Source organism: Homo sapiens, chromosome 3, assembly GCF_000001405.40.
Source record: "Homo sapiens chromosome 3, GRCh38.p14 Primary Assembly".
NCBI lineage: Eukaryota > Metazoa > Chordata > Mammalia > Primates > Hominidae > Homo > Homo sapiens.
Genome location: NC_000003.12, coordinates 105,366,185 through 105,390,094, shown reverse-complemented (window position 1 = coordinate 105,390,094; position 23,910 = coordinate 105,366,185). Strand labels below are relative to the sequence as shown.

The 23,910-nt window shown below is 36.9% G+C and overlaps 1 protein-coding gene across 4 annotated transcripts in view, besides 5 other annotated features; it reads right to left on the bottom strand.

Moving 5' to 3' along the window:
- The window catches only part of ALCAM (activated leukocyte cell adhesion molecule), a 209,992-nt gene extending 186,806 nt beyond the window's left edge, over positions 1 to 23,186 (bottom strand). For all 4 annotated transcript variants that reach the window (NM_001627.4, NM_001243280.2, NM_001243281.2 and 1 more), the window contains exon 1: positions 22,614 to 23,186. In NM_001627.4, coding sequence (NP_001618.2) covers positions 22,614 to 22,686 — 73 coding nt within the window. In that variant the 5' untranslated portion in view covers positions 22,687 to 23,186. The remainder of the gene's footprint in view (positions 1 to 22,613) is intronic.
- Positions 20,164 to 20,664: an enhancer, noted in NCBI's record as "H3K27ac hESC enhancer chr3:105088275-105088775 (GRCh37/hg19 assembly coordinates)". NCBI's record gives its function as "activates a minimal SCP1, AML or CMV promoter by ChIP-STARR-seq in naive H9 embryonic stem cells {active_cell/tissue: H9 hESC(naive)}" and the evidence as "EXISTENCE:reporter gene assay evidence [ECO:0000049][PMID:30033119]".
- Positions 20,665 to 21,165: an enhancer, noted in NCBI's record as "H3K27ac hESC enhancer chr3:105087774-105088274 (GRCh37/hg19 assembly coordinates)". NCBI's record gives its function as "activates a minimal SCP1, AML or CMV promoter by ChIP-STARR-seq in naive H9 embryonic stem cells {active_cell/tissue: H9 hESC(naive)}" and the evidence as "EXISTENCE:reporter gene assay evidence [ECO:0000049][PMID:30033119]".
- Positions 21,502 to 21,661: an enhancer, noted in NCBI's record as "active region_20195". NCBI's record gives its function as "activates an Ori minimal core promoter by ATAC-STARR-seq in GM12878 lymphoblastoid cells {active_cell/tissue: GM12878}" and the evidence as "EXISTENCE:reporter gene assay evidence [ECO:0000049][PMID:35858748]".
- Positions 22,692 to 22,811: a silencer, noted in NCBI's record as "silent region_14581". NCBI's record gives its function as "represses an Ori minimal core promoter by ATAC-STARR-seq in GM12878 lymphoblastoid cells {active_cell/tissue: GM12878}" and the evidence as "EXISTENCE:reporter gene assay evidence [ECO:0000049][PMID:35858748]".
- Positions 23,142 to 23,241: a silencer, noted in NCBI's record as "silent region_14580". NCBI's record gives its function as "represses an Ori minimal core promoter by ATAC-STARR-seq in GM12878 lymphoblastoid cells {active_cell/tissue: GM12878}" and the evidence as "EXISTENCE:reporter gene assay evidence [ECO:0000049][PMID:35858748]".

Genomic DNA, 23,910 nt, shown 5'->3' with positions numbered 1-23,910 from the left:
ACCCACGGGAATAGACATCATTCTGTTTATAAAGATACATGCACAGGTATGATCATTGCAGCACTATTCACAGTAGCAAAGACATGGAATCAACCTAAATGCCTATCAATGATAGGCTGGATAAAGAAAATGTGGTACATACATACAATGGAATACTATGCAGCCATAAAAAGGAATGAGATAATGTCTTTTGCAGGGACATGGATGAAGTGGGAAGCCATTATCCTTAGGAAAGTAATGCAGGAACAGAAAGCCAAACATCACATGTTCTTACTTAAAAGTGGGAGCTGAACAATAAGAACACATGGACACAGGGAGGGGGACAACACACAATGGGACCTGTTGAGGGGGTAGGGGGGAGGGACAGAATCAGGATAAACAGCTAATGCATGCAAGACTTAATACCTAGATGATGTGTTGATAGGTGCAGCAAATCACCATGCCACACATTTACCTATTTAACAAATCTGCACATCCTGCACATGTATCCTGGAACTTAAAATAAAATTAAATGTAAAAAATAAAAAATAATACTAATTTTGCACTAGTAGTTTATTTTAAAATAATGTACACATTATAAATATTCAAATCAGATAAAGCATATACTTAAAAAATAAGAAGGCTTCCCTCCTATCTCATATTCGCAGGCCTCCCTTTCAGAGAAGCCCATTATTAAGGTTCCTGTGTGTTTTTTAGAAAAAAAAAAAAAAAAAAAAAAAAAAACTATGTATATATGAGCATACAAGTAGGTATATGGTTTTGTGTGTTTCAAAACACATTCCGTTTTAAGCAAACATACCACACACTGTTTTGCGTATCTTTCTTTCTTACTTTCATCCCGTATTTTTAATAAATAAGGATAAAGAAAATTGTAGTGGGATAATTTTCTACATAACAGAAATTTTTTCCTCTTTTCTGTTTGAATGTGTCATATTTGTCATATTTAGTACACCATACCTTCCACTTTTCTTGTGTAAATAATAAATAGCTAACATTTCTGAAGTCTGTTCTACTTGCCATTCACTTTGCTCATCATTTTCCAAAAATTATCTCACTTTGTTCATTCAACAAAGAATTCATATAAATACTATTATTCTCCTCATTTTACAGACAAAGAAATTGGCTTACAGATTTTACTTGCCCACCACTTAAGTTACTTGTTTCAATTATTCTTTCTTCCATTTTTCTTTCATGAAAGCCTTAACATACTCATTCAATCTTTACTATCTAAAACGTGATTGTAAAATCTCATAGTTTTGAATCCTCAAGAGCTAAAGATCCACAGGGTGTGATTAGGACCATTTGGAATCTAATTATTAAGTTCAAAATATATGAATTACATATTTTTTAAAAGAAAAATATCTGGTTTCTTAACCCTAATAAGTTTTCCTAGAAAAGTATTTCTATAACCGAATATTTAGTGAAGCTTCAAGTCCAACATCCCCAAAATAAAAAATCATAAAGAATTTGAAACAGAAGGAATCTTAAATTAGTTTATTCCTATTAAGTTACAGATAAGAAAAATGTTGCATTTATTACTAAATTTATCACCAAATTTACCATCCTTTTATACTAAACTAAGTTTAAAGAGACAGCAGAACATCTCTGCTTGGAGTATGGTATATGTATAACATTTTGTAATACTCTAAGAGGTAGAAGTCCCTGAGTCTTCCTCAAAAGTAGCATTTCAAATTTGAGGAACTAGCTTTTTCCTTCAGCAATTGCATGCTGTTTTGTTTTTGTTGTGGGACAGTCGTCTGTGGAGATGAAGAATCATGGATCAGTGTTCTCATCACAGCTATTAATTCACCTTTTACTTCTTCCTTCTCCAGGTCTTTTCCCTTCTTTACAACAACTGTATTCTATAGGTTTAATCATTTTCTTTTCTCTGAACCAAATCTAATTGCTCTATTTATAAATATAACATTATACTCTCCCAAAAATTTTGTTCAGTGTTAAACAGAGGAGAGGTTGTACTTCCTTGTCTTTTTATTTTCCACACTCTGTTACTGCTTGTTTATACTGTAATGCATTTTTATTCCTATGTCTCAATTATTTTATTTATGGTGCATGGTGACTGGGAAATCTCAATCTGCAAAATGTTACATGCTTAGTGCTTCATTATGGATACTGATGAGAACAAAAAAGTGCAAATATTAAAAAAAGAGATAATGCAAATATTATTTTTATTTGGCAGTAGAATAAAGTCTCACAACCACACGGAAGGGAGCCCACTCAGCTGTAGCCTAATGTCATTGTATAAGCAAAGAAGCAGAACAGAAATATGAAGTGATTAACCAAAATCTCAGGGCTGCTGGTAAAGGCAGGACTGGGTCTCCTGTTTTCTTCTCCAGCCTTTCATATCCCTCTGCCACTGATCACTACTAAAAGCCCTCAGCAAGAAGGAAGTTCCTGGTCTCAATTATTAACTTGACAATGATCCTGGTAACCGTTACTGATTCAACAATGATGAACCAACACTCAATACTAAATATTTTTCCGTTTAATCACTAAATAATAGAGTTAGTGACGCAGACTATTTACATAGAATCTGTTTTCTTAAATTCTTTCTTATTGTATTGTTTGTGAAGCAACTATATTTAACAATGTAGGTATGTAGTGAACAAGTACACACAGGTTCTGCTGTGAGAATCAATGTTTTTTTTTTTAAGTTAGTAGTACCTTCTGTATCCTTCAAACATCTAAAGAGAAAAAGCTAATAGATTGTGCAATATTTCCAGAAGGCAAAGTAAACATGCAACAAAAAAGTAAAGTAAAAGATGATCTTATGTTTGAAATGTTTCTGAGCTTTGTTTGATGGTTTCTTGATTGTGTGTGTGAGTGTGTGTGTGTGTGTGTGAGGGTGGGAAGGATTATTTATTTTATTTCTATTTCCGCCTGCCCTTCCCTATAGCAGCAACCTCATTTGGACGCTCAGCCTGTGAGACTACTACAGACTGCTGTGGAACATATAATTAGTCCTCAGTTATTCTAAAGATTTATCTTGTGGAAAAAATCTCAAGATTTCTATTTGGAGAATAACGTGGGGTAAAAAGAAGAGGCAAACTGAAAATTTGTCAATTTGAACTGTCACGAACATTCAATATAATTTTAAGTAGGGTGAGGCTGAAACTATTGGAAAAATAACATTTATTGGGTAATTTGCTCATGTAACCTTTGATGGGTGCTTTCAGATGAAAGAGTTAAGATCAAAAGAACAGCATTCCAAACATTGGGGAATATACTTGGAAAAAGAATATAATGATACTAGTTATCTGGTCATTCCTGAATTAGCGCTTTGCATCTAACATGTATACTTCTTTTAAATATTCCTAACTTGATGGGAAAGAATATACTTTCCACACAAATTTAATTTTAAATGAAAAAACCTTCAATTCACTAAGGAAACAATTACAGATATATATATATATATTTATGGTGGTATAATGACAAGCCCAAGTCTAGACTGTCAGGAAGCAGGGTCTAATTTATGGTGGTATAATGACAAGCCCAAGTCTAGACTGTCAGGAAGCAGGGTCTAATGCTAGGGACCCATGGGGAATAGGGATAGGAAGGTAGGGTATAGAGAAACATTTGCACACACTAGACATTTAGGGTAATGTCTACAACCAATGAGGATGGATTTAATTGGGCTCTATTTTTGAAAACAAAACAAAACAAAGAAATCTGTAACTGGAACCAAATCCATTTATGCCAGCCTTGAGTATTTCTATTCAGTTGGCCCATGCATAAACCATTGTGCAGTTGATTCAAAACAGATGTAGAAGCACCTGTTCTAACAAAAGACATTTTACTGATTCACTTCTGTCTTCCTAACTCTGCTTTTCTAATATTAATTTCTTCTTCCTTCAGATTTGTTTACCCAAACTTCCCTTTTCAGAATTTGAGAAGTCACCTACTTGTGTCTCTCTTATACTCATTTCTTAATTTTAACTTCCTCTATAGTCTTGGAAGGTCAACTCTTTGGGTGAAGAGAAGCAGATGCTCACTGCCCAAGTCTTATTTCAGGCCCACCAATGCCTAAGTTTAGAGCAGATCATTCAATAGTATGTGCTCCATTCACCCATGAGGGAGTAGTTTTGAAAACACTGGTTTTCTAGATTCTCACTGGTTCAGTTATGGAACTGAACCTATATAGACAAGTCTTCAGCACCCACCACAGATCTGAATATATTCAAATGCACTCTGTTGAAAGCCAACATGTGCATGGCATATTTATGTAATTTTACTATTAAGTAACATTCTTTAGACTATTTAACTGAGCTTTAGTTTCACTATAGAATTAAGCAGACAAATACAATTCAGAATTCCTAAAACTTAATAAAGAACCATAAATTCACATCTGCTGTTGTAAAATTTGACACACATTGTTAAATTTGGACCAAAATGCTCTGGATTTCAAGACATATTTGCATCAGAATTTCTCTGTAGGAAGTTTCTTTCCAGCCATTGCTCTTCCCACTTCGAAATAAGAAATTAACTGAATGTTAGTTATCGAGAAGAGATTCAAATTTGGGCTTACTAGAATGTATTATCAATTAAGCGTCATGGCAAAGCAGTAAAGAAAATTTATTTTACATCATGATGCTACTGGTCCACATAAACAGTTTGTTGTAATTTTAAATAGCAAGTTCCTTTTCATGCTGGCTTTTCATCTTATCTTTCTTTCCTCTCTGAAGAGAGGTCCACTCATTCCTCTCCCCTTTCTCATCAGTACAAGCTGCTCCTTTAAGCTTCACTTGTCCTCCAGCTTTTACAGAATACTCTCTTTTACAGAAATCACATCTTTTACTATAAAACTTGGCTTTTCAATCTAATCCTATTTACATATACTAAAATAAGGCTTGTTAATAATGAAAATTATTTCACCACATTAACCCTAGATTCTATTTCCATGGAAAATTGAGAACTCCATATATTTTTATATGTTTGTGGAAAGATTATTTTGTTGGGTGACAACATCAAGAACGTGAAGCCTAGATTACATGCCAAGAATCCAGGAACTAGACAGTATTTGTCTTAGAAATGGGTGACATTTTTTCAAGTAATAGAAAAGATTTTTTAAAAAATTGTCATGTAGCCTCTTTGATTAATCCAGAATCTTAACTGATCACTGATATGGCCCAATTAGGTTTATATATTTCAACAAAGAGAAAGTCTTGTTTACTTGGCTTTATTTGATAATGTCTTTGCTCTGGCTACTTCTTGATACATAAACTATACTGCATTCAAAGTCCTATATTTAAAAGGCTGAAAGTGAGATTACAATTTATAATTTAAAAAATTAAAAAAGAGTCACAGTTTTTAAACTTAAAATTGGTTATACAAATATATTAGCCATTCTTTCGTAAAGTACTATTTTACATGGAGTACAGCAGGTATTTAATAAACGAGAGTTATCAGTGGTAATGTGTTGTATTTATATTGGTTTATCTGGACAAGTATTTTTAATAATATATTAGAAAAGTCTTAGAATTTCTGGGCAAGAATTCAGAAGACAGCTTGCCTCAGAGACCAAAGAAGTAAAAATTTACTAACAAGGTAAATTGGGAAGGTAATATGGGAATTGGCAGAGTAAAACCATGATATAGAAGTTAAAATTCTGAAGGACTGGGAAGGATCAAAAGTAAAGTAAGGAAATAAAACAAAGCTTATAAAAAAAGGACTTAAGTTGAAAGATTATAAGAATTTAAGATTATTTTGTCCAGAGAAGTGACACCAGACTTAAAACTATTAAGTTCTCAGCTATTAAGTACCATTGAATAATGAGATCTGTGATAAATCCAATTCTGCACTGTTTTTATCAGTAAAGACTTATTTCTCAAAATGATATGTTGGTTTCAAGAGCACAAGGTTTATTTTTCAGTAAAAATGAAACATCATTCAAATTTATATAATTTTGTTAAGTTAGTGACTGAATTTTAAAGTTCTCTTTCAATAGTCAATAGTTTTGTAAAAATAAAACCAGATTTTCTCCAAATTTTCTCTAATATTTTACTCTCAAAAGCATCCAAGACATGGTCCACAGTACAGATGTATTTTCAGTGGTACAAATATGTTAAATACTGCCTGCGTGACTGATCAATCTGCTTATGAAGTCTTTTCTATATTATTTCTGCTAGATTATGAGAAATGCCGTGATCCAAAGGTTTAATCTATTAATTAAAAATAGAAGAACTAATATTACCATTAATTTACTTCTATTTTGAATGTATGTCTACAATTATCCTGTGGGAGAAAAAGTAGTTTTAGTATCTTCACAAACCTACAGTTTTTAAAATAAATTAGTTTAAATAAATTTCTATAATTCTCAGGATGATCTCACATTTAATGAACAGACTATGTTCAATATGGAAACTCAAGAAGAGTACTTATGTTAACTTGGATTGGCACTCAGAAGAAATCTAACTTTATTCCATTTGTTTTAGCACTCAATTTGCATAGCATGGGTAGAATAAGGCAAATTCTTTTTAGGACCATATTTTAGGAGAGTTGTCATTCCCTCAATTTTTAAAAGAAATTGAACAATTTTCTCAATGTAGATATTTCTTATTCATACAACATTATATGTTGTTGTTTAAAATAGGCTTCATTGATAATTATGAAATGTAATTTTGACTAATGCCTTTATTCAATTGTCATGTATGTACTGAGAAAGTTCTATGTATCAGTAGACTAAGAAATCTAATTTTGACTAATGCATTTATTCAATCATCATGGGTGTGTACCGAAAATGTACCATGTATCAGTAGACGCTGGGTAGAAAAAAGATTAAGTAGACACAGCTCCTGCCTCCAGGAATATAAAAATTCACTAAGGGAGAGAGAGAAGAATGAATAGGCAATACATGAAATGAACTCTGGAACTACAGAGGACAGGCACCTTAGAGAGATCAGGGAAGAATTTCTGGAGGTGATGGCATATAAACTGTGTTCTGAAGGATAGGGATACACGTTATTCAGGCAAAGAAAGGGTGATTGAGAGGGTGTGAAGCAAAGGGTGTTCTTGAATAAGACAGAGACGTGAATAACAACCCACTCAGGAAGCAGGAAGGGCATGGCACATTTAGAAATATGGCTAGCACATGGAATTCCAAGAAAAATTGTTCTGAGAAATGTAAGAAAAACTTTAAATGCTATATTAAGAAGTTACTATTTTACCCTGACTATATTGGGAAGTGTCCGAAGTATTTGAAGCAGAGCAGTTATAAGAGTTGATTCATCTGACAAAGGGCTAATATCCAGAATCTACAATGAATTCCAACAAATTTACAAGAAAAAAACAAACAACCCCATCAAAAAGTGGGCAAAGGATATGAACAGACAGTTCTCAAAAGAAGACATTTATGCAGGCAAGAGACACATGAAAAAATGCTCATCATCACTGGCCATCAGAGAAATGCAAATCAAAACCACAATGAGATACCATCTCACACCAGTTAGAATGGCAATCATTAAAAAGTCAGGAAACAACAGGTGCTGGAGAGGATGTGGAGAAATAGGAACACTTTTACACTGTTGGTGGGACTGTAAACTAGTTCAACCATTGTGGAAGTCAGTGTGGGGAGTCCTCAGGTATCTAGAACTAGAAATACCATTTGACCCAGCCATCCCATTACTGGGTATATACCCAAAGGACTATAAATCATGCTGCTATAAAGACACATGCACATGTATGTTTATTGTGGCACTATTCACAAGAGCAAAGACTTGGAAAGAACCCAAATGTCCAACAATGATAGACTGGATTAAGAAAATGTGGCACATATACACCATGGAATACTATGCAGCCATAAAAAATGATGAATTCATGTCCTTTGTAGGGACATGGATGAAATTGGAAATCATCATTCTCAGTAAACTATGGCAAGGACAAAAAACCAAACACTGCATGTTCTCACTCATAGATGGGAATTGAACAATGAGAACACATGGACACAGGAAGGGGAAGATCACACTCTGGGGACTGTTGTGGGGTTGGGGGAGGGGGGAGGGATAGCATTAGGAGACATACCTAATGCTAAATGACGAGTTAATGGGTGCAGCACACCAGCATGGCACATGTATGCATATGTAACTAACCTGCACATTGTGCACATGTACCCTAAAACTTAAAGTATAATAATAATAATAAAAAAGAAAAAATAAATAAAAAAATAAAGTAAAATAAAATATGACAATAAAAAAAAGAGTTGATTCAGATCTTACATCACTCTGATGGCAGAGGGGAGAAAAGATTAGAAGGGACTAAAGTTTGAGAAATATGTTAGAAAATGTTTACTTCTTTTGGTTTCTTAAAATATGATCACTGGGCCCTATTTTATTATTGTGTAGACTCTGAATCTACAGAGTCTACATAAATGTCTTTCGAGCACAGTCACTTGTATACTCCTAAGTTACCTATGGCCTACTTACACTAATGACCTAAAACAATTGCTTTTAGACACTGTAAACTATAGGCTGCAAAGCATCTCATTTTTAGCTTCAAATTCACTTTTAAATTTATATTTCAACCTCAAGATTGCAATGCAATGATGTTTCATTAACAGATGGGAACTATGACATAATGAATATGATACTAACAATTAATGGATAAAGTCTTGGAGTTTGTGAATGGTTTATTTGTTTTACAGAGTGAGTAGATTCAAGGTTACGCCCCATAAAAACATGACATCACTCTCATTCAGATTCTCTTTTTTGAGTGGAAAGAAAGGTAGAGTGGAGAGGAGCTACAGCTGGCAATTTTATAATTCTGAACCTGTGGCCTCTCTTCTTTATGTATAATATCTATGTGAATCAGTTGGGTGTATAATCGTATTTTGGGGAAGTGGGAAAGATTAACTGAGATTTAATTTATTTAAATACTTGAATAATACTAACACCTCTTAAGAGCTTACTACTGACAACCACACTGTTTAATGAACTTTATGTGTATTAATTCATTTAACTTTCACAGCTATCCTACAAGATAGGTGCTATTATTCCCATTGCATAGATTAGGACAGAAGAGGGTTTAAGCAACTTCCCCAATGCCACCCAACTGGGAAACTGGAGAAAGGAGACACAGGTTTCAAAACTAAACAATTTGGCTACAGACACCATATTCTCAAACTCTGATCTATAATGGAAAGTAAGCACAATAAAATGGGCACTTACTTTAAAAGGTATTTTAAATTGTGATTTGTTAAAACTGTGATGAAGAACCCACAGGCCTTTATCACAAAGCTCCTTTCCCAGTATGGCCGTCGTGACAGATAATCTAATTTCAATATGAGATTTTTAAATCTGTTTCTGTGTTGACAATTCTTAAATATACCAGAGAATTGGACGATTTCATTTACTGATATAATTTTAGTAATAAATTAGGAGGTCTAATGTGTGATATTATACAATTTTCTATAGAATGTAATAAAATCATTTCCATTTCAAATTTAAAAATGAGGCCCATCATTGAATTTTTTTTCCTTAATTAGACTTCAGGTAAAATTATTGCTCAACACTGACTCAAACATACAAGTGCGCGTGCATATTCTTCTTCTAAATCAAAATATAGTTTTGAATCTTAGAATTTTTGAGCTGTGAAGAAATCACATGGTACAATACTTCCATGAGAAAAATGAACCTCATAAAAGGTAAATGAATTGTCAGGGTCACACACAGAGTGGATAACTCCCTTATGTAGAAACATCTTAGGAGATGTCTTATAAAATTGAAACCATTTAAATTTTTTAACCATGTTAGTGGATTTTTGACAAAATTATAAATTTTTGAACAAAATCAACCCAACAACTTCTTTCATCATAACAAAATTAAAAGGTAAAGTAATAATAGATAAGATGATGAATATCAATTTAGCTTGAAAATACAATTTGGGATTACCTAAATCAAGGGAATATATGAGAAAATAAAAAAGGAAGAAGACCATTTCCATGTGGAAATCTGTAACCATTTGGTTAAAAATCTAGGCAGAGTAATTTTAAAAGATTTTGTCTACTATTCAAATATATAACAGTTTTAACTTAATAGCTACCACAAAATTAATATGAAAACATGCATTATTTTATCACTAGAAATGAACTTTTTTCTCTTTTGATGCCTTGGTGTATTAAAGTATGTTTCTCAAGAGTATACCTACTTTAATCATGTCTAGTGAGTTATTATGCAAAAGGTACAAAGAACTAAGAACTGGGGCTTTAAAACACATATTATTTGTGGAAGCATTTTTTGAATTATATGAATAGAAAGAGGATACTATTCACTTTCCAAAATATCCTTAATATTAAAATTATAGGTTTTTAATAATGTTCACTATTAAATTAGAGGTCATTGGAAAATCATAATAAATGGAAGCATCCTACAGTGCTCATAAAAGGGAAGCAGTGGAGCTCCCTCTATTGAATTACACTTGAGAAATAATGTATTTAAAATCATAATTTTATTATCAAAATGACAGCATTGTAACAATCGGAAATTTTTCTTTCTAAGTTCTAATATTTTCAAATTACAGAAACACATATAATAATGTCAATTTCTGAGAATAATATAGTGCATTACATATGTCTTTATAATTTTAACACGTGTTTTTTTCTCTTTTTTTTGTGGAAAATTACATTTTAAAGCTATAATTTTCAATTATGTTCTTTTGTTTTTCCTGAGATGATAAAACTGAAAGGTTACTTGACATTCATTGAGATTATGAAACATTCTAATAAAATATACTTTTCAGTTTAGTTATGGAAGCCCAAAATGTATTCAGATGGAACTGAAATATTTCTCAATCAGTAAAATGAAGTATTTCACAAGTTTTTCTGATGTGAATAACTGATATTATTAGGTTACTGAAAAATGTGATTCATAATGATTATTATTTGGTTGAGTGTCTACAATGTGCTAGGCACTGACAAACATAATATAAATTCATTACCTTCTTGAATATTCCTACCAAATGAACTTGGCTGCTATCCTCAATTAACAAATGAAAAAACAGACAAAAGCTAGAAAGCAAACTCATGCTCTGATCCATAGCCCAAGCTCTTGAGCTGTTATATAAAGAAATCTATGCTATGCAGATTTCAGTCTGGAGTCTCTGAGCATAGACAGTTCATGAAGATCAAGCCTGGAGAATAGTCTTCTTATACCGTGGAGATACGGCCATACTGCCTACCATCAAATCACTACTCAAGCAGTTCAAATCATTTCTAACCAAACACTTTGGATGGATTCTAGAAAATGATAACCTCCAAACCATACCCTGAAACCCTACTCCTTTTTTACTATTTTATAATCTCTTTTAGAAAGGTGGCATTTTCTAACAGCAAAGAGGAAAACAGCTGAGTGGATAAAGGTTTTGTTTTAATAAACAGATACGTATTTGCCATTCTAGTATGATCAGAGAAGCTATTTAATCTTATACTAAACAAGCATTTCTCAAAAAAAAAAAAAAAACTATTTGAGAACTAGCCAGTATCCATTGAGGCTGGGTGGAACAGGGGATTTATGTAATGGAGTAAATCCAAATATAAATTACATTTTACTCTTAGATCTGATATCAAAACTGTTATTCATACTTAGATCCATGACCATCTCTGCAAAAATATAAAACCTATACCTTAAAATCACCATAAACATTCTTCTTAGAAAGTGTTGTACCTATCACCAGGTAGGGAAAATGCTTGCAGAATAAAGTATAAGTGCCCCAGATTTGAACATCTAAACTAAATACCAGGCAGAAACTGCTTTACTCATTAAATTACAGTATGTGCATACAAACATTACCTCCATTATGAATATTTATCATTTGTTTAAAAATATTACTTTCGGCATATAATTTTTCAAAACTATATATATATATCCTGCTATTTTCTATGTAAAAGTGACTAAAATAGATTTTATTCCTACTTTCCTTAATGGGTTAAAAAATTACAGGTGAAAAATATTTAGTGGCACTGATTTTTAAAAAAATTTGTAAAATATTGTACTTTTTATCAGTTTATACAAAATTCTGACAAGCTTTGTTGGAAGAATTGTTCAAAAGATGATTTACTTAAGGCTTAAACTTGTTGGAATAATTGTTCGAAATATGATTTACTTAAAAATAACTGAAGTTTGTTTAGTAATGACTATTATACAGGGTTTACAAAGTGGCATTAGTCAGACCACCCATAAAATGTATACTGTACCTACAACGAACTAATACAAATATTTGGAAACCATTTCTTTGTGTTGAAAAGCAGTATTAAATTCACTTATGGCTCAAATGTGGCTGTCTCTTAATCCTGATTGTACAGAGTATTAATTTTACAAAATGGAAGAGGTTATGGCTTATAATTATACAGTTTATGTTCTAAAAGTTAGCAATCTTATGTAGAAAGAACAATAATAAAAATTCATGGTAAATACCTGTCTTTTCCCATTTCTGGCCCAATCTCATGTATAATAAAGTTAGGCACCAATATAGGTTTTGCCTTGTATGTGAGTGTATATGCCTACTACTCCTATAATTCTAACTTTTCCAATAAGCTTTAAATAAATGAAAACCAACTTATGATACTGGTTAAAAAGAGGAATGTAATAGTACAGATTTATGAAGAGAGTTTAAGAAAGGCATTATCTTACTTTTGTTGGGATTTTTTTAAAGATGTGTACTCTTTGAGCAGTAATTTTACAATTTCTTTCTAAATGAAAAACACATCGTTGACTCAGTAACTTCACTTCCAAGACATTTTACCAACAACTGCCACCAATTGCTTATATGGACAATAACATGATTAGGATGTTCACTGCTCTAGTTTGTAATAACGAAAGATTGGAAACAACCTAAACTTCCAGGAACTTGTGAAATGGTTACATTAATGATGATAGTACAGTAAAATCCAATGCACACTTTTTAAAAATGAGGTAGAGCTATAGGTGCTGCTATGAGACAATTTTTTAATCTCCAAAATGTACTGTTAAATGAAAAAGGAAAGGTACAAAATGATGTATATGGTATGTTTCCACTTTATTTTTTAAGTAGGGAGGTATACATACAAATATTTACTAATATGTGAATATTTCAATAAGACAAAGACATCCTTTTGTAGATCCCACAACTGGCAAGTCAATTAGGGAGATTGCAGGAAAGTATTTGAACAACTTCAAGGAATCCTTGGTTTTTGCCTCAACCTTCAAAACTTCTTTAGTTTTCATGAAAAGGGATAGGCACATTTTCACCTCCAGGAGTTAGAAACCATGTTTCTTACCACCTTAGCATCCTCAGTCATGTTATTTCCTCAGCCTACATCCTTTGCTAGATTATTCCTCAGCACGTAGCTCAGATATCACTTCCTGCTAGACGTTTTCTGAGTTTCTCTTAAATCCCAGACTAGATCTGGCCCCTTTGTTGTAAAATGCTGTTCATTGTTCTTGTGACATTTACCAAAATTTCTAGCAAATAGTTATATAGTTAATTAATTGATATCTGTTTCCCTGAGAGAACATAACATCTTTGAGTGATAGGATCTTGAATGTATAGTAATTAGTTTATTTCCATATCCTCAAGCACAATGTGTAGTACATACTGAGCACTCCATTAATATTTGTTGAAAGCTGTTATATATGCTGAATGATCAATTGACATGAGTTTTAGTTCTGGATTGGCCAACAATGTGACCTTAGTCAAGTAGTTAATTAATTTTTAGGTTCTTTACAGGTCAAAACCTTTAATCTATGAGTTTAGGCGCAAATGAAACTGAAAACATGTCACTAGGAATTGTGGTTAATTTGCTACTGGATTTTAGGTAATCTCTTAAACCTGTGGTTTCATTTATTTCAGCTCTCAAATGGGGGGCTAAACAAAAAGAACATCAAAAGAACATTCTCATTTTTCCAACAACCCTTCTTTTACCATATTTTAACTTGTGACAATAAATTCCATGCCTCTAATCCTTCAGAATTCATTCTCTCTCTCTCTCTGTCTCTGTCTTTCTCTCTCCTCTCCAGCCCCCAACACACACAAACTCACACACACTGAACTTTCCATAATTTAACTCTGGAGAGAGTTAAGGTTTTCGCTCTAAGTGAAAGTATTCTTATTCAACACTGCTTGAGCCTCTCAAAAGGCCGTATGTTTTGCCCAAGGATCTAGAAGGTGAAAATTGTTAATACAGGGTCAAAGTTTCCGCGATAAGCGTCTTTGCTGTTGTCACACCCTTGACTACAACCGTATCCTAGCCATACTGTTGGTGGCCACATCAGGTCGCCTTTTCTGACTGATACAACTTAGTTTGCATGTACAGAAGAATGCTGGGGCTTCCTTCAACATCCCTGGTTTTTTTAAGAAAAAAATTGGTAGTGTGATTACTGAGAAATCTCATAGAAGAACAGAATGGGAGTTGTACAATTTGCTGCAAAAGGAATTCATGCTCATACTGAAATAGTTCTTCCCTAAATAACCCCGTAGCTAAGTGTAGCTCCCAGGTGAATTTCAAACAAAATTATTCCCTTGGCATCTGAGGTCAATTTAGTTTCCATTCCAAACCATAGGATCCTCAATGTTTCATATCCACAACATTCTGGAATTCTAGAGGCTACAACCTCACATCTTTCTTTCTTATACCTGACATGAAAGGGGCATATAACCCATTAATGATATTTCACTGTAGCTGATAATTAAATTTAAATGGGTTAAAAATATGCACTTGGTTAGGATGAAGAGTGCATTTATCACAGTGAAGTACTCCAAGACATAAAGACAAGTTACAAATTATTGTGGAGCCTGTATGATATGTTATGCAAAATGCACTTCTGAAAATGAAAAAGGATGCCATTAATAATTGTACCAGCTCATGAGGCATAAACCAGGACAGTCTTAGGTATACCAAGATGAATGAATGGTCAACCTACTAATAATATGCATATTAAGCAAGATAGCACCAAAAGATATACAAGAAAGAAAATAAATGTCTATAATAGGTAACACACAAGTTGACAACAAATGACACCATAGGTGTCACCTGGGGAATGGTTAGCTGATTGTACCACAAACAAGCTGAATTTGGAAGGGTTCAATGTGTAGGTTTCAACCCTGAAAACTTAGAAGCTTCTTTTGGCTGCTTACCAAACATTTTCCCATCTTTTAAAGATGAATTCTCACTAACCAAACTCATAAACCAGCTTATTGGTATACATAAGAGCAATTATTGCCAAGGGAATACAATGCTTCTCTTCCAGCTAGTGCATCCTCTGACTGTAAACTGGCTATATAAGAAGTCACATTGGGCTCGGTGCAGTGGCTCATGCCTGTAATCCCAGCACTTTGGGAGGCCGCGGCATGTAGATCACCTGAGGCCAGGAGTTCCAGACCAGCCTGGCCAACATGGTGAAACCCAGTCTCTACTAAAAATACACAAAATTAGCTGGGCGAGCTGGTGGGCACCTGTAATTCCAGCTACTTGGAAGGCTGAGGCAGGAGAATCGCTTGAACTCGGGAGGCAGAGGTTGCAGTGAGCAGAGATCGCACCATTGCACTCCAGCCTGGGTAACAAGAGCGAGACACCGTCTCAAAAACAAAAACAAAAACAAAAAACAAGCATCACATTATAATTAGAAGATTTCTTAGTGACCATGAAATTCCACCATGGGAAAGTTTACTATATGACTTGAATATTCAGAGCATTACGTTCTTTTTTAAGAAAAAAAGAAAATAGAGACAGAGTTACACAATATTGGCCAGGCTGGTCTCGAACTCTTGGCCTCAGGTGATCCGCCCGCCTCGGCCTCCCAAAGTGCTAGGATTATAGGTATGAGCCACTGAGCCTGGCCCCAGAATTAGGTTCTTATAATGAGTTTTATCTATCTCAACAAAAAGCTATACCTGCTAAGGAGACTGGGCAAGTCATGTCTGCCAGTTAGAGGGGCCACTTACTTTCACCATAAAAGAAAGTGTTTGGATTCATTAAGTATAATAGCTTCAATAACCACATTTGGCCCAACTCCTCTACTTTTTCTGTGTTTCTCCAATGACCAAAGTCTTTTTCATCCTTAATCACAGGTCCTTTACGAATATACATGTTCTTTTCTTTTTGTTTTTCATTAATACTACTAAAGTGCCATCAGGTCTTGATAGCCTGTCCCACTCTGTTCTTTCATGATGGTTTTATTTTCCAGTTCAATTCTCAGTGAGGAATATTATATCCTCAACTCCCAAACTCCTTGAGAAAATTTCTTAGTAATGCATGAATGTCAGGTGCTGCCATATGGAGTTTAATTCTCCACATATGCATTGCTTCTACTGTATTTAATGCAAAGAAAAAATGTGAAGCAGCTTCTAGGTGTCAAGCTCTTAACTAGACTTGAGGATACATAGACAAAGATGATATTTGGTATTCAAAAAATTTATGTTCAACTGAAAAAAGTCACCAATATCATAATACAATGTGGTAAAAACTACAGCAAAGACAAGTACAGGGAAAAGGAAAAGGGAAAAGTTAAGACTCACTTTAGTCATTATCAACATTCCAATGTTGATTTTGCACCAAAGGCAAGTAAGTACAGGAAAGTTTTTTTTTCTTCATTCACAGTTCAAATAAGGTAATCTAGACTCTCTCTAAAACTATACAGATGGAGAGGATAAAAATCTACTTATATCAATTTCTAAGGTGAAAGTATCTTTGAGATTTATCTCCCTCAAGAAAACATTGTGTTGGAGTGCTGGTTGATATCTTAATCTACAAATTCAGTTAACTTCTCTAGTGAAATCATCATAATAAGTTAAAATAATCAAAAATAAAGTCTTTTTTAATTACAAGTTCCAATCTTCCTAACATTTATGGATTTGATATTACTGGTTTTCACTGTTTACTGTAACCCCATAATCCATTATAAGTAGTAATTTTTTTTTCTAAAAGCAGGTGTGTGAAAATCCTACTGGAGAGTCAACCTACCTGGCTGCTAACCCAACTCATAACATGAAAAGGGTATTGCTTTATTATTCATTTATTCATGGAAACTCATATGATGTAATAAAAAACTTGCTTAAGAAAAAGGGCCAGGTGAGGGTAAAATTTTTCTAAAACTTGAAATGTGATTTTGCAGAGCTAAACAAATTATTCATAGTGGAAGTGTCATTGAGCAAAGGCCAGAAGACTACAGCAATTGCCATGGTCATAGTATGTTTTCCTGTGAATGAACATCAAGGGTCTATAATATTTATAGGATTTGAGAAGATTGCAAAGGTTTAGTTTCATCTCATAGATGTTTTTAGTCTTACTTGGGCCAAGATTTTGCATCAGTTCCTTAAGTGATACAGAAAAGAGCTAAAACAATAATAACAGTAATAGAGAAGCAAATCAGAGAAGCTGGACAGCTGTCTAATTTCTGATTAACCTATTCCCCAGCAGTTTAGTTTCATTGTGTTGAAGTACTATGAATTCTTAGACCAGACAAGTATAGACATGTTCATTGAAGTACCTCAACTCAAAGTCAAATTAAGTAATCCTTTGGTTAGAAGATGTTTTGGATTGTGCGCAACTCTGATTTCCCCTTCAATGGAATGGATAATTGAGAACTGACTGGATAAATAAGAGAGGAAGCATTAAAAGCTAATTTCATTCTTGGAACATAGACTACAGTAATGGGCTATGATAATAGGTTAGCATAAAACAATTACTGAATACCATACCACATTTGGAACTAGGCCTATCTGAAATATATAAGGTATTCTATTCAATAATAAGGGAGAAAAGAGAATGTAAAATTTATTATTTAAGCAGAGAAATTAGCTGCATGAAAATATCAGTAACTCCAAAAATATGGTAATGACTTACGTACTATAGGGACACTATAATAATTGTAGGATTTAGATTTAACCTTACCAAACAGCCTGCAATATTCTCTTCCTGAATATAGAATATCTATTTTAGTCTTGAATTTACTCTCCACAAGGAAAGGAAAATTCTACCCTAATAAAAAAAGTAATCAAAAGTATAAATGGATTTTTTTCCATTTCTTATTGAAAATAAACTGAGTTGAAATCCAAAAGTAATAACCAAATAAATGTTATCACCCACCACACCCAAGAAACCATTCTTTAGTATTCCAGTAAGTTAGTTCATTCTTCATATGTCACATACATGTGTCACACACATAATGTGTAAGAAATGAGATTAGCCTCTGTGAATACTTAACAATGAAGAATAAAATTAACACATTGTGAGAAATTGCATTTAAGTTTCTATGTATACATTGAGACAGAGACATATTCTTCTATCATAGCTATACCTAAGTGGATCTTCTGCATATCTGGGCTATAAATTGCATGTGTCTACTTGAGTGAATACCTTCAGGGAGCTAGAACTCTTTGATGGTGTTTTATGCTAAATAAATGGCCAGAACAGAAAGAAGTGTGTTTGGAATTGTAAAACATGGTGATTATAAAGCATTTAAAATACTATCTGACAAACTGCTGCCATCTTACACCAAGTAATATTGACAACTTAGGTGGTACTAAGTTTTACAAAGGCCCACGGTTAGTGGCATGAAAATTTGACGGAGAAAAAGAAAAAAGAGAAAAAAAAAAAGAAACATCTTTCCATTATTTTAATAAAATGATAAAAGTGATAATTAAGTGGAATAAATTAAAGAATGTTATTCTATTAACAATATAATAAAAGCCTTAATTAATATAGCACGTTTTACTTAAAAAATTTGAAATGCTGAGCAAGGGAATTACTAATCTCAACACAATCAGAACCACACATTGCACAGAAAGAAATTCACAGATGGGAAATAAAAAAGAGCAGAAAAATAATTTTCCCAAGGTCACAACATTCTTACATGACATAGTTAGAAACTGAACACATGAATACTGACTACAATATACAATTTTTCTAATAACACAAGACTATTTAATTAATTTTCTTCTTTTTGATAAGTCAATGGTAGACATGCATTTTCATCTGAATGTCTATTAAAAAAGATAAGCTAGTTTGAATTTTTTACAAAGTCAGAAAAGGTTTGGAATCTGGTAAGACAAGATATTTTGGATTTCTACAAGTTTTAAAACAATAGAAAAATATTAGTATTTTCTATTTCCTTCTGTCTTGCATTTACAACCATGTTGCAAATCAACTTTTTGAGCAACTTTAGGATGTACAATATGAGGCTTTGTCATATGAATATTTAAGCATAAACCATAATTTACATCTCATTCTAGGTACTATGTATGCAGTTTATATAGGAACAGGTTTGCAGGAGAGATGAGTTACACTAGCAGGGCTTTCTGAGGCCTACTATCCTTTCTTACTTTTGGGTCCTCTTTTCCCAGGAGAGTGGAAGGCTAATTTCTCTCCTTCACGCTTTTTTTTTTCCCTACTAAGGCTGGAAAGAGTAAGCATAGATGTTATCATGAATTTTTAAAGGTAGAAAAAAAAAGGAAATTAGAAATTGGGGTCTACTGATACTTTTCTAATAATACAATTTATATGAATTTTGTCTAGACTGAGATCCTTAGAAAAATAGTGTTGAAAAATGACTCTGCCTGCCTAAATTGGTTTTTTACCTTAAGACTTCAGAAACAAAGAGTTTTTGAGCTGGGAGACATTTCAGAGAGTAGGCCTCTAGTCTGTCTTTTTATTTTGTATGAGAAAACTGAAGCTCAAAAAGGTTAAATGACTTGCTCAAGTGCCTGAAGGTAGATGTCCTGAAGAAAGCCTAGAAAAGCAATTTACTGCAAATAATGCTCCATTAAATTGTAAATTGCTATTGGATTAAATAAATCCTTAAGGAAAAAATATATATATATTGGCTGTTAAACAGTTTTTAGTTTTTAAATTAATCAATTTCAATAGTCCTACATCAATAGTCTTTGAAAGGACATTATTTGAGTTGATGCTTTCCCAAGTCCTGTTGAGATCAATTGATATGTTTCAAACATAATATCCCACTGAAGAAAGCTTTATGTGTGCTTATGTCTTAGAATGAATCTTATATCAGTGAGATCAGTGAGTAGTTATGAAAAATCCCATAGAGGGGTTCATACAGATGACCCAAGTGAAGAAAGAGTTAACTGCAGCGCCCCATCTCCTTGTAAATAATCCAGAAAAGCATTCTTTTTTTAAGCAATACAAAATGTCACCACAGGCTGACGCTCTTTCTACAAGAATAACGAGAATATTGCTATCTCGGATGTTGAACACACACTTCATTGCCTTCATCTCTGAATTCAGTTTTCGTGGTTCATATATTTTTCTCCTCCTTTCAAAACAGGTAACGTGGCACGCCTAAAATATATCAATGACTTTGTAGCGACTACAAGCCGAAAGACCCGGGGAAGCAGTTTCACAAACTCGAGTTTTTGACCTCTACAACTGGACATACACTATTAAAACTGCTCCGGAAATGAAGAGTGGCCGGCAGGGAAGGCAGTTACCCCGCTCAAATGAAGCCGGCCTTTGGCACCGCGCCCCCACCGGGCTCTGCTATGCAGAGGGCTCCGAAGAAGGCGCACTTACTGTCCAAGACTTGCTTCCTCAGTGTAGACACGGCGCCTTTAGTGCTGTAACCTTTCCTTTCAAAACACACTGATACTGCAATGAGAATTTCGGCAATGCCAGCTCGGTAATTCACCGAAACCACGGATCTGAGGGTCCAGGGCCGATATCGGATCCTCAGATTCACGGTGGCTGGTTGCGGTGAGCCGGGGCTAGCCGCTCGCCGAAAGCGCGCAGCTCGGTGCCCCCTGGACACACGAGCCTGTGGCGCCAAAAGAACCACCGTGAAGGAGGTCTGAAAGCGGAACTTTCCCCCTTTTAGCAGTTAAATGTGTAGAAAAACCTATCCTGCGACGTGGCCCGCCTGTGACGGCACCGAAAAGGAAACTGGTTATGTGCCTGTGTCAGGGGTGTGGACGAGGGTGAGATTACATTCTCCAAGTCTCGAGGGGGTTAATCGGAAAACCAACTGTGGGCGTGTGGACGTTTGCATGTTACAAACCGACATCACCCTTGTCCTCCCTTCTTGGCTCATTCCCTGGCTCCAAAGTGTCCTTTCCTCCATCGGACAGTGGAATCTCGAAAAAGTGAAATCCACACTGTGCCAGGCCCAAGGGGGTCTCGCCTTTCCACCTACCTCCCCAGCGTTGTTACACTAGGACACCTGCTTTAAATCCGGTTGAACTATGGTTTCACAGTCCCCGCCCCAGAGCCCGAGATTTGTCAGAGAACGCAGACGCCTTTTTTTTCCCTCAGCCTCAGAAACATCAGGTGAGCTCATTACCTCACCCAGAAATGTAACTTTAATAAAGAGATCTGGAGAGGGCACTCCTCCCGCCCACACACACAGCAACGGCAGCAGCAGCAGCAGCTCGCAAACACTTGTAATCTCTTCCTCAGGCTCTGGCCCCCAAACCCCTCTCCCCGCCAGTTCCTGGGAGAGATTCAGAGGCTTTCAAACCTCTTCTGTGACCTGAGCTTGCCGACAGCTGAAGGGATGTGCACGGATAAAAGGAAGTGAGATTTTTCTTTGATAAAAGCTAAAGAAAAAGCTAAGAACAAACAGGCCAAAATACCAGGAAGTAGGAGTTTAACTGGCAACTGTCTACGCAGGGATAGAAAAAAAAAACTTCAAAGAAAAAAAAATCCCCTAAATTTTCAGTTTAGGGGAGCAAAGGAACCTGCTGCTCTGTCAGGCAACTGTGAGCGCACGGAATACCCTGTTAGAACAACTTGTGTCAGCCGCCAGGCGGGCCTGAGGATACCAGGGCCAGGGGACGTCCCCGAGGGTGTGGAAAGGGATTTCCCGAGAGATATTTTAGTTGTTGGGAATTTTGCCTTTTCTCTCTCTCTCTCTCTCTCTCTCTCTCTCTCTCTCTCTCTTCCAAGACTCAGTACAGAACTGAGAACTGAGGCTCTATGAGCAGGTCCTGGAAATTCACAAACCTCTCACTGAGGTGTCTCCCAGGCCTACCTACTAATTCCTGTTCTGGCTGTGTTATCTGCCTGCGGTCACCCTTTCACTCACCACCCGCCCAGACAATGGACGGGGACCGCAGGGGGTAACGTTGAAACCACGATTTTAAGCTTTAGCAGGTTTCGCAAGGGGGGCGGGGGGAGGTGATTAAAGTCCTCTCCTTCTCTACCCCTCCCATCCCTTCCTCGGCTCACCAAGGGGAAGTTACTAGGGGATTTATCACGAAAAAGTGCCGGCAGTTATTTCATCCGAGAACTAAGCGAAAGAAAAACTGCTCGGGGCGCAGTGACGTGGACTTGGATACCCAGAGACAGGAGGAACTGTCAGAGGGCAAGAGTCCGCCGCCTAGCTGGGAGCCGCAGGGACAAGGGGAGAGCGTCAGGCGAATCCTGCCCACCCCGGAGCACCAAGTTCCTGGAGATTCACCCAGTTTCCCCAGCTTGATGCCCAAACTTGAGCTAACCAGCCAAGCCCAAACGTGCGGCACAGGTGACCGAGCCCGGGGACAGCTCTGTGCCAGGACAGCGGTCCCCTTACCTCCACCACGCGCCTGGGCGCACTGCCTCGGGGGTGCGAGGCTGGGACGGGGACCTAGGAAACTGCTCCAGGCCCACGTCTGTCTGGGGCTGCTCCCAGGCCCTTGCTCACCTGGCCTGAAGACGGTGGCGGAGATCAAGAGGCAGAAGAGCAGACGGCAGGAACTGGCCCCCTTGGATTCCATATTCCTCCTCCTTCTTGGTGGGCCACTGACGGAGTCCACGCCGCAGGAGGGGGCGTCGTCCCGGGCCCCGCGGTGCCCGCGCGCTGGCGGGTCCCGACGCAGGGGCAGCGTCTTCTCCCAGACACACCGTCCCCTGGGCTGTGGCGCTGCACCTTCGGTTCTCTGCCGCACGCAACTTTCCACCACGCAATGCCCCCAACTCCTCCTCCCTCCCGGTCAACACCAGCCCACGGGCCCTTCGGCTGCTCCTCCGGGGACAACGACCCTCTGTTTCCAGGAGACACTTGAGTAATTCGGAAAGGTGTAAGCGGTTCTTTTCGCTGGTATCTTCTTTTATTTTCCTTGTATTGGAATGATAATAATAATGGCAGTGGCAATGTGCATGAAACGCCAGGTGCTAAGAAGGACTCGCAGGAGGCGGCGACGGGGGGGCGGCGGGTCTCCTCAGGTGGCAGCGGTGGTAGCAGCGGCAGCGGCGGCAGCGGTCTCCGGGCTGCTCTGAGTAGAGGGACTGGAAGGCGTGTGTAAGCTGCCTCTTTCCTCCTCTCCCCGCCTCCTCCCTCCCTCCCGTCTCCTCCCCACTTCCCCGGACGCAGCGCAAAGCAGGTGGTTGAAGCGCGGATCCGCAGCCTAGAGGCGCTGCAGGACTGAGTCCGAGCCCTGAGCCCAGCTCCGGGATCAGGGAGAACCGCGTGCCCCGGTCCTGGAGCCCGGATGAGCGGTGCTTCACCGCGGCTCCGCCCCCAGGGCCAGGTCCGCCAATAAGAAGCAAGCACAGGAGCCGCGCGCGCCAGGGAGAGCCCTGGGACTAACACTTTCTGTGATGTTGCAGCGCCCCAGTGATAAGGCCTCTGGCTTCCAACTGCCCACCCACCCTCGCTGAGGTTTAAAAATCGACTGCCCTCTCCCTCCACCCATACGCCCATCCCACTGACTCATTCCTCAGAGATTTTTCTCCGCCGTGCTGCTGCAGCCTTCTGTCCTGTAAAGAGAATAGTGGGGCAGGGCGGTGGCGGTGGGGAGCGAACCTTGGGTCCAAGAGCGGGAGTGAAGGGAAAAGGAAAGGAAAGGGCAGGAGGAAGTGGCAAAGGTGGAAACTTGCTTCTTGGGAGTTAACAGGAATAGCTACTTGTTGGCAGGGGCAACCCCTGTACTGGACTGATTCCTCCTGTACTTTTCGAATCTCTCTCCTCCCCCTGCTCACCCCCACCACTCCCCTCACAC